Consider the following 11,409-nt stretch of genomic DNA (forward strand, 5'->3'; position numbering starts at 1 on the left):
GGGAAAATTCTTGCAAAACTGGATGGAGCTGAATTTCACTTTATTGCTGGTGCTTATGCAGAAATTATTATTACATGTTCATAAGGGCTTTATGGTGGTATAATATTTTACTGCTAGAGAAGCATTCACACAATATGTGGCATTTTTAAGTGTCCTGTCATTTACAATTCTACACTTTGGAGTCTGTAAAGGCAGGCAAGTCTTTGCAAACCTCCTGTGATTTTCAACTCCCTGGACAGCTTGGCACTGTCTCAGCAGGGATTAACTGCACTGCTGCCTGCAATAGAGGCTGCAAGGACTTCCTAGTTCTATAACCCTCCAAGAGTGTGAGGTGCTTTCACAGTCATGTTAATTAATGCATCGGATGGCATTCAGGATAAAAACCGAAATTCAGCAGCATTCCCCAGGCTGGTGGATCTGAGCTGCCTAACAGAGACAGGTGAGAAATGACATTTGAGAGCCTGGCAATATCCTCAAGCACTCACTTATTCATGCTAAAGACTTGCTGGCACTAACTGCGGCCTATTTGGAAAGTCGTTATAACGAAGAGCTAAGTTAGAAGCCAGGTTCTCCAGCTCACCTGGCATGGATAAATGTCCAAATTCCAAGCTTCCTTTTATCATCTTTAAAATAGGGGAAATTGAGGCATACGGTTAAAGCAGTCCTGAAATAAAATCGAGCATGTGAGGTCTGGGTCTGGAACCTAACACACATTAGGCGTTAACTACCAGAATGAGCAAAGTCACTGCTAATCAGGAAAAAGATCCAGATGAAGCCAGTAGTTATAGCAATCACTCCATTCCTCTTCCTCCCAACTGTATTAGCTCCGGTTTAGCTTGACTTTACAAAGTCAGAAACAGCTCTGAACCCATAAATGGGATTCTGTAAAGCTCCAGATTTTGCATTCAAAATTCTGTGTGCATACATGTACACAAACAAGCACTTCTGGGGAAGAGGCCACATTTCAAGAGACTGTCAAAGGGATCCGTGACCAGGAAAGGTTGACAGTGACTAGAGTGCAGTCCAGTTCAGCCTGCTTCCTACAGAGCTGGTGTGATGGAAAGGAAAGACAGTGGAGGCAGATGGTTCCAAAGTTTAAATTCTGGCTCTGGCCCCCATTCACTAGTTGATCCTAGGGGAGCTCTCTACCTCTCTGAGCATGGTAGCTCCTATGTAATATGGGAAAATGGAAGCAAGACCACCAGTTGCAGAGTTATTAGGAGGATTAAATACAGTAACAAATGCCTGGCACACAATGGTGTCAACTGTGTTAGTCTCCCCATTCACAGTCCCTGCCAGAAAACTGGAAGGTTCCCTCAGGCCAGCAGGACCAAGGACCAGCCTTGTCATATTTTTTTGTCCATTTGCTTCCTGCACACCAAGAACCCTGCAACTTCTACAACTGCTGTACCAGACCAGGCCCGATCTCACTTATCTAGGTTTGTGACCCATTTAAGGTTCAATGTTCCCTCTGTTCCCACCAAGTTCCACACCCAGGCATCTCAGCTGCATTCCATGGCTTCGAGTGGCAGCCCAAGGTAGAAAAAGAATGAGCTTCAGCAACAAGCCACCTGGGTTCAAGCCTCAGTCCTCTCATTTCCTAGCTGGTGACCTAGACCAGTAACTTAACCCTTCTGTGATTCAGATTTTTTATCTGTAAAATAGGGATGGCCATCATTATCTACCTTACTGGAAAAAAAAAAAAAGAATTAATCCATGTAAAGTGTGAGGCCAAGACCTGGAACACTGTAAGTACCAACTACCATTATGACCTGATCACAAGAAACAGAGACTCAATAAGCCAGTTCAGATAATAGCAGTTTACCATGAACATACTGAGAACGAAAAGGGAGATGGGTCGTGCATGAATCCCAGAATAGTAACTGTAGTACAACCAAGCAATATAGAAGAATGTGGCTAGAACCCAGGCAGCACACGGGACCTCCATGTGGGAGAGTGAGCTTCGCCTCCAGCTAACTCTATAAGATCTGGCCCTGCTTTCTCCAGCCTCTTGTCCCACTGCTACATCCATGATTGTGATTGAAATGCCAAAGGCACAGGGATTTTGCAATACTTTTAATTTATGGGCAGTGAAATTTAATTTTCACATGCCACTCCATATATATATATATGGAGTAGAGAGTATTACATATACACACACACACACACACACACACCTATACATACATACATATGTGTACATATGGATACGAACAGGATATATACACACACACATATATAGTATACATATATGTGTTTATATATACATGTGTGTATGTATATATATCCTGTCCTGTCTCCCCCTGCAACATTACGAATTTTTTAACAACAAACACTTTCATGCATGCCCTAACATCTTCAAGAAAGGCTAATTCAAGTGGAGAGAGACCAGGACCAAAAGGATTGTGAGAGACAAACGTAACCATTGAAAACAGAGAAAAAGCAAGCAGCCTAAGTGAAAAGCATTTGTAAACTGTGAAAACCCTTGTGAGAGTCAGCTACATAGATGACTATGATCATCTGAGTCCATGAGGCATCTTCAGGATGCCTCGGAAGAAGAGCTGACCCAGGTGAGTGTGTTCGTATCAAACAGCTGCAGGTAGGGCTGAAGCCTATGGCCAGAGCCGGCTCTCAATGAGAACTTCAAGAGGCTCTGCCCCAAATGAGCCTCAGGTGTGCTAAGGTGGTGCCTTCAGCCCCAGGCCAGCAAGATATCTTCCACTTATCCCAGTACACTGAACAAACATTATCATTTTCCACAAAGTTTCAGGGTGGGAAAGTTGAGGATATTCTACTTTAGAACACGGGCCAGCAAAATTTTTATGTGTAAGGTGAGATAGTAAATCACGTAAGCTCTGCATGCCATACTTTCTCTCTGGCAACTCGCAATCACTGTAGTAGGAAAGCAACCACAGATAAGAGGAAACAGGCATGGTTGTGTGCCAAGAAAACTTAATTTATGGACAGTGAAATTTAATTTTCACGTGCTACAGAACAGTACTCTTGTTTTGATTTTTTTGGACACTTTAAACATGTAAAAGCCATTCTTAGCTCATGGGCTAAAGGAAGACAGACTGGCCCACAGAATGCAGACTCTTGCTCTCAATCATTACCCCTACACAATCTCTAGTAACATGGAACTTCAAGCTTCTGACATTCTATGTGGGGACTATGGCTGCTGAAATCTCGTCTATTCAATCTTCAGTGACTCATACAGCCACTAGGATCTCAAAAAATGTGTTTTAAAAAATTGGACAGGTGTAGTGGCTCATGCCTGTATTCCCAGCACTTTGGGAGGCCAAGATGGGAAGATTCCTTTAGGCCAAGAGTTTGAGACCAGCCTGAGCAACAGGGCAAGACCCCATCTCTACAAAAAGTTTAAAGATTAGCTGGATGTTGTTGAGCATGCCTGCAGTCCCAGCTACTTGGGAGGCTGAGGCAGGAGGATCACTTGAGCCCAAGAGTTTGAGGCTGCAGTGTGAGCTATGATTGTGCCACTGCACTCCACCCTGTCCCCAGCAAAATAAATAAATAAATAAATAATTGTCCTTTAGCGATTTCTATCCTAATAAAACATCTTTGGCAGTAGATCACCACTGCGTTCTGGAACAGTCCGTCCTACTGGTGGGGAGTTCCAGAGGTTAAAAGTTCTTCCTGAGATGATGTTCATCTCCCTCACTCCCCCAAAGGCTCCTGGGTCTCCCTGATTGTGTCTGCAGAATTAATCCAATCCATCTTACCCGTGACGGCTCTCCACGTTTTTTGTTTATATCAGGGAGGAAAAAAATGAAAGGAATGAACTACTCCCATAATAGAAAAACCTTTGCCAGGAGAGGAAGTGAATGTAGAATTTCTGATAGAAACCAATGCTTTTACCTAAACAGTGGCTTCAGAAATAGCCCAGTCCATAGACCCACCAAAAAGTCAAGAAATAATTTAGGATATTAGTTCATTTTTGCATCGCTAGAAAGAAATTCCTGAGGCTGAGTAACTTATAAAGAAAAGAGGTTTAACTGGCTCATGGTTCTGCAGGCTTGTACAAGAAGCATAGCACCCACATCTTCTGCACTTCTGGAGAGGGCCTCAGGAAACTTACAATCATGGTGGGAGGTAAAAGAGGAGCAGACACGTCACATGACAAAAGTGGGAGCAAGAAAGAGGGAGGAGGTCTCAGATTCTTTTAAACAACCAGATTTCTCATGAGTAAGAACTGTTTCATCACCAAGGGGTCAGTGCTAACCCATTCATGAGGAATCAGTCCCCATGATCTAATTACCTTCCACCAGCCCCATCTCCAACACTGTGGATTTCACTGCAACATGAGATTTGGAGGAGACAAACATCCAAACCATATCAGCGAGAAAAAAGCATGTTTTCCTCAACCCCTGGCAGAGAAGATCCCCATTTACACATATGTTGGAACAAACAAATAAATAACTGAACAAATAAGTGACCATATGTTAGCATGCCAATAGAGAACATTCTCATTCTACCGCAGCCTGTATAGATCACAAAAACAGAACAACTAGTGAGAATAAGATTTAGTAGCCTGAACAGTTAAAATATGAATGCTATGGGGACCAATTGATTCTTTGCTAAAATTCTTAATTTCCCTAGAGACAGACTGACTGCCTTCAAATCACACGTTTACATGAAATAAAAAAATAAGAAAAGCGATTATTAACTACCTACCAGGTATGAGGCACTTTGACTTGCGTCACCTCATCTAACTTTCATGCATGCCTACTACAATGAACTATGCCCCTCATTGTTCCAGAGAAGATCACCTGGACCCAGGAAACGTGGGGGCTCCAGGCTTCAAACCCAGATGCATTCAACCCTAAAGCCCAGGCACCTTCTGCTGTAGGAGACATAAAACCCTGCTGATCCCATTTACTTATGAAACGATCTATGGGCCAGATCATTAGAGAAAATGCCTCTAAAATGCCTCCGAATTGAAGGTGGTAAGAAACTATGTAAACCAACACAGGAAAATGAATACGCAGGAAATGCACACCCATACTAACTAGGTTTAGGATTTTGCCCTACTTCATATTCAATTATAAAACTATTTGATTTAATAATATATGCAAAGCAGCACTGCACCAAATCGGCACCCCCTCAAGAAAATGCACATCCCCTCACTGTAAAATCTAGGAAAAATAATAGAATCCATGCATAAAAAGGGACCTAGTTTTTAAAAGACAAAAATGGTCATAAAAATGAATAAGAAATCCTGTTGCAGTTTTACTTCCTGTCTTTAAAAACTTTTTATACATACATTCTTTTAAAACTATTTTTGAAGACCAACTCACTTTGGCAAAATACTGAGAGTAATATAGTTTAATCTCTATTAGCTTGGAGCTGTGAAACTACATTGTTGATTTATTTCTCACACAGTCAAAATTTGGTGTGAAAGGTTCTAGCATCTTTTCTTGCAAATATCTAGTATTTTACCACTTTTAAAGTACTATTGGATCTATTGCCCTCCTTCATCTTTACAGCAACCCTAGATATAAGGTAAGTACAGACAGTCCCCGATTTAGGATAATTCGACTTAGATTTTTCAGCTTTTTTTTTTTCTGGGAAAGGGTCTCGCTCAGTCACCCAGGCTGGAGCACAGTGGCGTGATCACGGCTCACTGCAGCCTAAACTCCCCAGGCACATGCTACCATGACCATCTAATTTTTCTAGTTTTTATACAGACAAGGTTTCGTCACGTTGCCCAGGCTGGTCTCGAACTCCTGGGCTCAAGTGATCCACCCGCCTCAGCCTCCCAAAGTGCTGGGATTACAGGCGTGAGCCACTGCACCTGGATGACTTTCCAGCTTTATGATGATGCAAAAGCAATATGCATTCAATAGAAACTATACTTGAGTACCCATATAACCATTCTGTTTTTCATTTTCAGTACAGTATTTAATATACCTAGGCTTAGGTTGCATGATTTTGCCCAAATACAGGCCAATGAAAGTGAGCATGTTTAAGGCAGGCTAAGCTAAACTATGCTGTAATGTAGGTTAAATGTATTAAACGCAAATTTTGAACTTGATATTTTCAACTTACGATGGGTTTAGCAGGATGCAATCTATGCTAAGCCAAGGTGCGTCTGTTCTGTTACTCTCATTTTTTTTTCCTCTTACAAATGTACAAAAAATGTTTCAGAGTTTTTGAGGGAGCTTTCCAATGAAAGTGACAGAAAATCCAACTCAAACTAATGCAGGCAAAATAAAGGACTGAATAGTTCACAATCTGTAAGGTCCAGAGGTGAATCTACCCTGTGGCAAGGTTTGATCTGGGTCCAGGAGATGGCCTGGTCCCTCTCCACCTCAGCTCTGCTCTCATCCACACGGACTTCATACTCAGATGCCATGCAGTAGCAAGACAGCTACTAGGTTGGATGTAGCTACAATATCCGCAGCTCCAACCTCTGAGTTCAAGGCCAGTGGGAAAGAACACACATACCTCTCAACAGCCCCAACAAAAGCCTCATCACATCTTGTGGGCTCCAACTAGGTCATGAAACCACCTCTAAGCCAATTACTATAAGCCAGTATTAGGAATAATCTGAGTCCTATGTCTCCCCCTGAAGCCCTGCACAATATCATCTCCACCAAAGTCCATGGGCTAAAGGGTGGGTGTGAGTGTGGGTCTCCCTGGGAAAACTAAGCAGGGTGAATAAATACAAAGTCAGAAAGCCAAGAGATCCTCAGCACAGGCTATGTGACTTGCCCTGAGTCACACTGCTACTAAGAGACAAAATCAGGACTCATGCACAAATCTCCTGGGACCGAGTACTCCAAAAATAGTGGCAAATTATTTTAAAGCACACGGGTGAATCACAAAAAGTCCTCCAAACTGAACCTCTTGGTCACAAATAACAGTCTAAAATATTTAACAAACTGCCAACAGGACTTCAAAGAAAGCCACTTACAAAATAGAAAGTTTGTAACATTAAACACAGTTACTGTTATCGAAATCGAAATCCCTTTATAGTTCTAAATGGTTCCTTACCATCTAGAAAGTCAGAACACTGTACTCAAAAGTAAAATCGAAAAGCTTTTTGATCTATTTTTGTCTCTACACGGACGTAAAGCACCGAATCCTATTTATTAAGTGCCTTCGACGCACGCTGTTGCTCTGGCGATTCGCAACTCGAAAATGACACTTACTATTCAGCTAGAGATTAGAATCTCAAGCAGTAGGGCATTTTTTAATAAAAAATTAAATTAAAAATAGATTTGCCATTGTCTGCTTAATAAAACTAGTAGCTCTGCTGGCTTAGAGGGGAAATAACATATTTCTTCGGATTTTTATATATTCATCTGAGCAGTGCTAAAAAATAAAACAAAGTTACTAATATTCATATCTTGAGCAATTGTACATTGCTTCTAACTATACATTCAATCTCTCTGGCACATCCACTGTGGCCCTGAGCAGCCAGTACAGGCTCTTCTACCAAAACGAAGCAAGCCACTCCAAAACCTGACGCGTGCAGGTGTCACGAAACACCAGGTGCAGCTTGACAGATGTGAGCCAAATAAGGAAACATTCAGCCCAGCACTGCCCAACAGTCATGATGTATATTTTCTACATCTGTGCTCTAAAATATGGTGGCCACTAGCTGCAGGTGGCTATTGAGACTAAGGAACTGTATTTTTAATTTTATTTCATTTCAACTCATTTAAAGTAGCCACATGCCGCTAATGGCTACTGATCTAGAGGGCAGCTGGGATGTTACTCTTGAGAATGTCTCCAGCATTTTACCTGTTGCTCTCTCTCACTCACATTTCCCATTCTAGCACAAACAAAACAAAACAAAACAAAACAAAACAAAACAAAACAAAACAAAAAAACCACAACACCTACAGTTCTCCAAACAGGGCATCTGTTTTGTTCCTCTGGGGGGGTCCTGTCTATGTTGTTCACGTGGCCCTGGATTTCCATACTCCTAGCCTTCCTGGAAGACATCCTTTTCATCCTCACAACCCAACCCAGGCTTTATCTCTTCTGTGAAGCTGTCCTTGATTTTCCGTTCTATCTTCCCTGCTTGTGAATGGGTCAGCTCTCCTTCCCCACCGCCCTGTGCGTGTGAACATCTTTGTTCAGTATACTGCAGTGGGTCGGGAGTATGTCCCTTCCAGACTGGAAGGCAGAGAGGGTGGCTGTAAGGATTGGCACTTTGGGCCAGGCACAGTGGCTCATGCCTGTAATCCCAGCACTTTGGGAGGCTGAGGCAGGAGAATCGCCCGACCCCAGGAGACAGAGTTTGCAGTGAGACGAGATTGCACCACTGCACTCTAGCCTGAGGGATAGAGCAAGACTCCCTCTCAAAAAAATAAATAAATAAATAAATAAATAAATAAAAATAAAAAATTAAAGAGGTCTCAACAGAGGTAGACAGGGAAAGAGTAGCGGATGCAGGAAGATCCAAAATGCATATGGGGGTTTATTCAAACCGCACTCAAACCCTCTAGCAGTCCCACCACCATCCTCTCCAGAGGTCCCACCCCTGCCCCAAGCCCTCCCTGTACCCACAACCTGGCCAAACCTCTACTCAAATGTTACTGATGAAAACAAGTCTTATCCTGCAGGTTTGAGTGCAGTAAAAGAAGTTTAAAGGCCACTGGTCCAAAATGGCCGTAAGAGAATATATGTGCAACTCTGTTCCCACAGTCTGTTCCCGGCACCCTTCCTCCCACTTCTAGTTTACTCATCTCCTTTCTTTCCTAAGAGGCCAAGGCGGGCGGATCACCTGAAGTCAGCAGTTCGAGACCAGGCTGCCCAACACATTAAAACTCCGTCTCTACTAAAAATACAAAAAACTAGCTGGGCATGGTGGTGGGAACCTATAATCCCAGCTAGTTGGGAGGCTGAGGCAGGAGAATCGCTTGAACCCGGGAGGCGGAGGTTGCAGTGAGCCGAGATGGTGCCACTGCACTCCAGCCTGGGTGACAAAAGTGAAACTCCGTCTCAAAAAAAAAAAAAAAAGACAAGAAAAAACCTCCAATTTACAGACAAGACTTGCAACCCTAGATTCTGTGTTCCACAGTGTCCCTAACCCTGAAAGACAGGATACCTCTTGAGACCGTCCAAGGTTTCTTGGTTTTATTGAGGGCAAATAAAGATGAGAGCAGGTGAAACAAGCATTAAAAATGATTAAGTGTTCAACATACAGGCTTTCTAGCCCAGGAAGAGTCCCAATGAGACTGTTTGTTTCCCAAATTCAATGTATTCCTCCTGCTATAATGCTCCCTGGCACAGGGAGTTTAGTAAAGAGCAAGCTGGGAGCTGGGAGCATGCAGTAAGTGCATCTCCAATGGGGCTCTCCTTTCGGTGCTTTGAACACAGGAAGTGATTTCAATTTCAGCACAGCTTCCACTTAGGACGATCAGGCAGCACTGGAAGCTGGAATGCAGGTGACCTATCTTCCTTGGGGCCCCTGTGCAAGAGGTCTGAAGGGTAATGACTGGGGACCGGCATGACTGAAGAGCATAAAAACAGCTGCCATGGGGTCTGGGGATTGGCGACTTGCCTACCGTGCGAACTTGGGTATATCACCTCCCCTCTGTGTGCTTTGGTTTCCTTGTTTATAAAATAAGAGTGTGGTTTCCAAACTTTTTTTTTTTTTTTGAGACGGAGTTTGGCTCTTGTTGCCCAGGCTGGAATGCAATGGCACAATCTCGGCTCACTGCAACCTCCGCCTCCCGGGCTCAAGAGATTCTCCTGCCTCAGCCTCCTGAGTGGCTGAGATTACAGGCACGCACCACCATGCCTGGCTAATGTTGTATTTTTAATAGAGATGGGGTTTCTCCATGTTGGTTAGGCTGGTCTTGAACTCCTGACCTCGTGAGCCACCCGCCTCGGCCTCCCAAAGTGCTGGGATTACAGACGTGAGCTACCGCGCCTGGCCTCAAACTTTTCTTTCTATAAATAACAAGCCCCCTTTTTGTCCCCAATAAAATCTTCCGGGAAATGCAAAGATCTAAAACACACAGGTGACGCATCTGTGATTGAAGTGTATTTACAGGATTCTAAAGTCCCACTTACCTGAGTCTCTCTCCCTTACCTCCCCCAGCCCCTGGGAAACCCAGAATCCTAGAAGTTCATGGAATGATATTAGGGAACTAGATCATCTTTGTAGCATCACATCAAGTTGAAAAATTCCAGGATGGGATGTATAATGGATCTTATTTATTTACTTATTTATTTTTAGTTTTTGAGACAGAGTTTCACTCTTGTTGCCCAGGCTGGAGTGTAATGGCACGATCTCAGCTCACCGCAACCTCTACCTCCTGGGTTCAGGCGATTCTCCTGCCTAAGCCTCCTGAGTAGCTGAGATTACAGGCATGCGTCACCATGCCCGGCTAATTTTGTATTTTTAGTAGAGACGGGGTTTCTCCATGTTGGTCAGGCTGGTCTCGAACTCCTGACCTCAGATCATCTACCCGCCTCAGCCTCCCAAAGTGCTGGAATTACAAGTGTGAGCCACCACGCCTGGCCTATAATGGACCTTATAATGCATATCTTTAGGAAATGGCTAAGAAATAGACTAAATCATTATTTCACTTAACATTTGTATTATGAAAAATGTTAAAAACATTAAAACAAGAGAGTCCCTATGTACCTATGACCCAATATCAGTAATTATCAAGTCATGATAATTACAGCCTTGTTTCCTCTCTAACCTACTCATTCCCATGACTCCCTTTCTCCCCGCCCCGTGATTACTTTGAAGCAAATCCGCGATATACTATCATCTTGGTCCTGAGGGTTTCAAAATCTTTATTTTTAAATCTCAATTTCATTACCACACTAAGAAAAGAACATTAATTCCTTAACTTCATCTAAAATCCACAAGCCACCAGTGCCATCAAATTTTCCCCTTTACAATTTCCTTGGTGAAGAACAGAGCTGTTTTTCTACAGAGTTTTCCGCTGTCTGAATTTTCATGACAGCGTCTCTGTTTGTCATTTAACCTGCATCTCTGCCCTCTGTATACTTCCTGTGACTTCATAGCTAGATCTAGGGTCTTGAACAGATCCAAGTTCTGTTGCGGGAAGTCAGGGACCCCAAACGGAGGGACCGGCTGAAGCCATGGCAGAAGAATGTGGATTGTGAAGATTTCATGGACATTTATTAGTTCCCCAAATTAATACTTTTATAATTTCTTATGCCTGTCTTTACTGCAATCTCTAAACATAAATTGTGAAGATTTCTTGGACACTTATCACTTCCCCAATCAATACCCTTGTGATTTCTTATGCCTGTCTTTACTTTAATCTCTTAATCCTGTCAGCTGAGGAGGATGTATGTCGCCTCAGGACCATGTGATAATTGCGTTAACTGCACAAATTGTAGAGCATGTGTGTTTGAACAATATGAAATCTGGGCACCTTGAAAAAAGAA

At 42.9% G+C, this 11,409-nt stretch overlaps 1 protein-coding gene across 22 annotated transcripts in view, besides 3 other annotated features; it reads right to left on the reverse strand.

Moving 5' to 3' along the window:
- The window catches only part of LARGE1 (LARGE xylosyl- and glucuronyltransferase 1), an 856,162-nt gene that overhangs the window by 768,442 nt on the left and 76,311 nt on the right, over positions 1 to 11,409 (reverse strand). The gene's annotated exons all lie outside the window — the stretch shown is intronic.
- Positions 55 to 612: an enhancer, noted in NCBI's record as "OCT4-NANOG hESC enhancer chr22:34231147-34231704 (GRCh37/hg19 assembly coordinates)". NCBI's record gives its function as "activates a minimal SCP1, AML or CMV promoter by ChIP-STARR-seq in naive H9 embryonic stem cells {active_cell/tissue: H9 hESC(naive)}" and the evidence as "EXISTENCE:reporter gene assay evidence [ECO:0000049][PMID:30033119]".
- Positions 6,797 to 6,856: an enhancer, noted in NCBI's record as "active region_18886". NCBI's record gives its function as "activates an Ori minimal core promoter by ATAC-STARR-seq in GM12878 lymphoblastoid cells {active_cell/tissue: GM12878}" and the evidence as "EXISTENCE:reporter gene assay evidence [ECO:0000049][PMID:35858748]".
- Positions 9,257 to 9,551: an enhancer, noted in NCBI's record as "tiled region #672; HepG2 Activating non-DNase unmatched - State 23:Low, and K562 Activating non-DNase unmatched - State 24:Quies". NCBI's record gives its function as "activates a minimal TATA promoter and a strong SV40 promoter by Sharpr-MPRA in HepG2 and K562 cells {active_cell/tissue: HepG2 | K562}" and the evidence as "EXISTENCE:reporter gene assay evidence [ECO:0000049][PMID:27701403]".

Source organism: Homo sapiens, chromosome 22 (assembly GCF_000001405.40).
Source record: "Homo sapiens chromosome 22, GRCh38.p14 Primary Assembly".
NCBI classification, from domain to species: domain Eukaryota; kingdom Metazoa; phylum Chordata; class Mammalia; order Primates; family Hominidae; genus Homo; species Homo sapiens.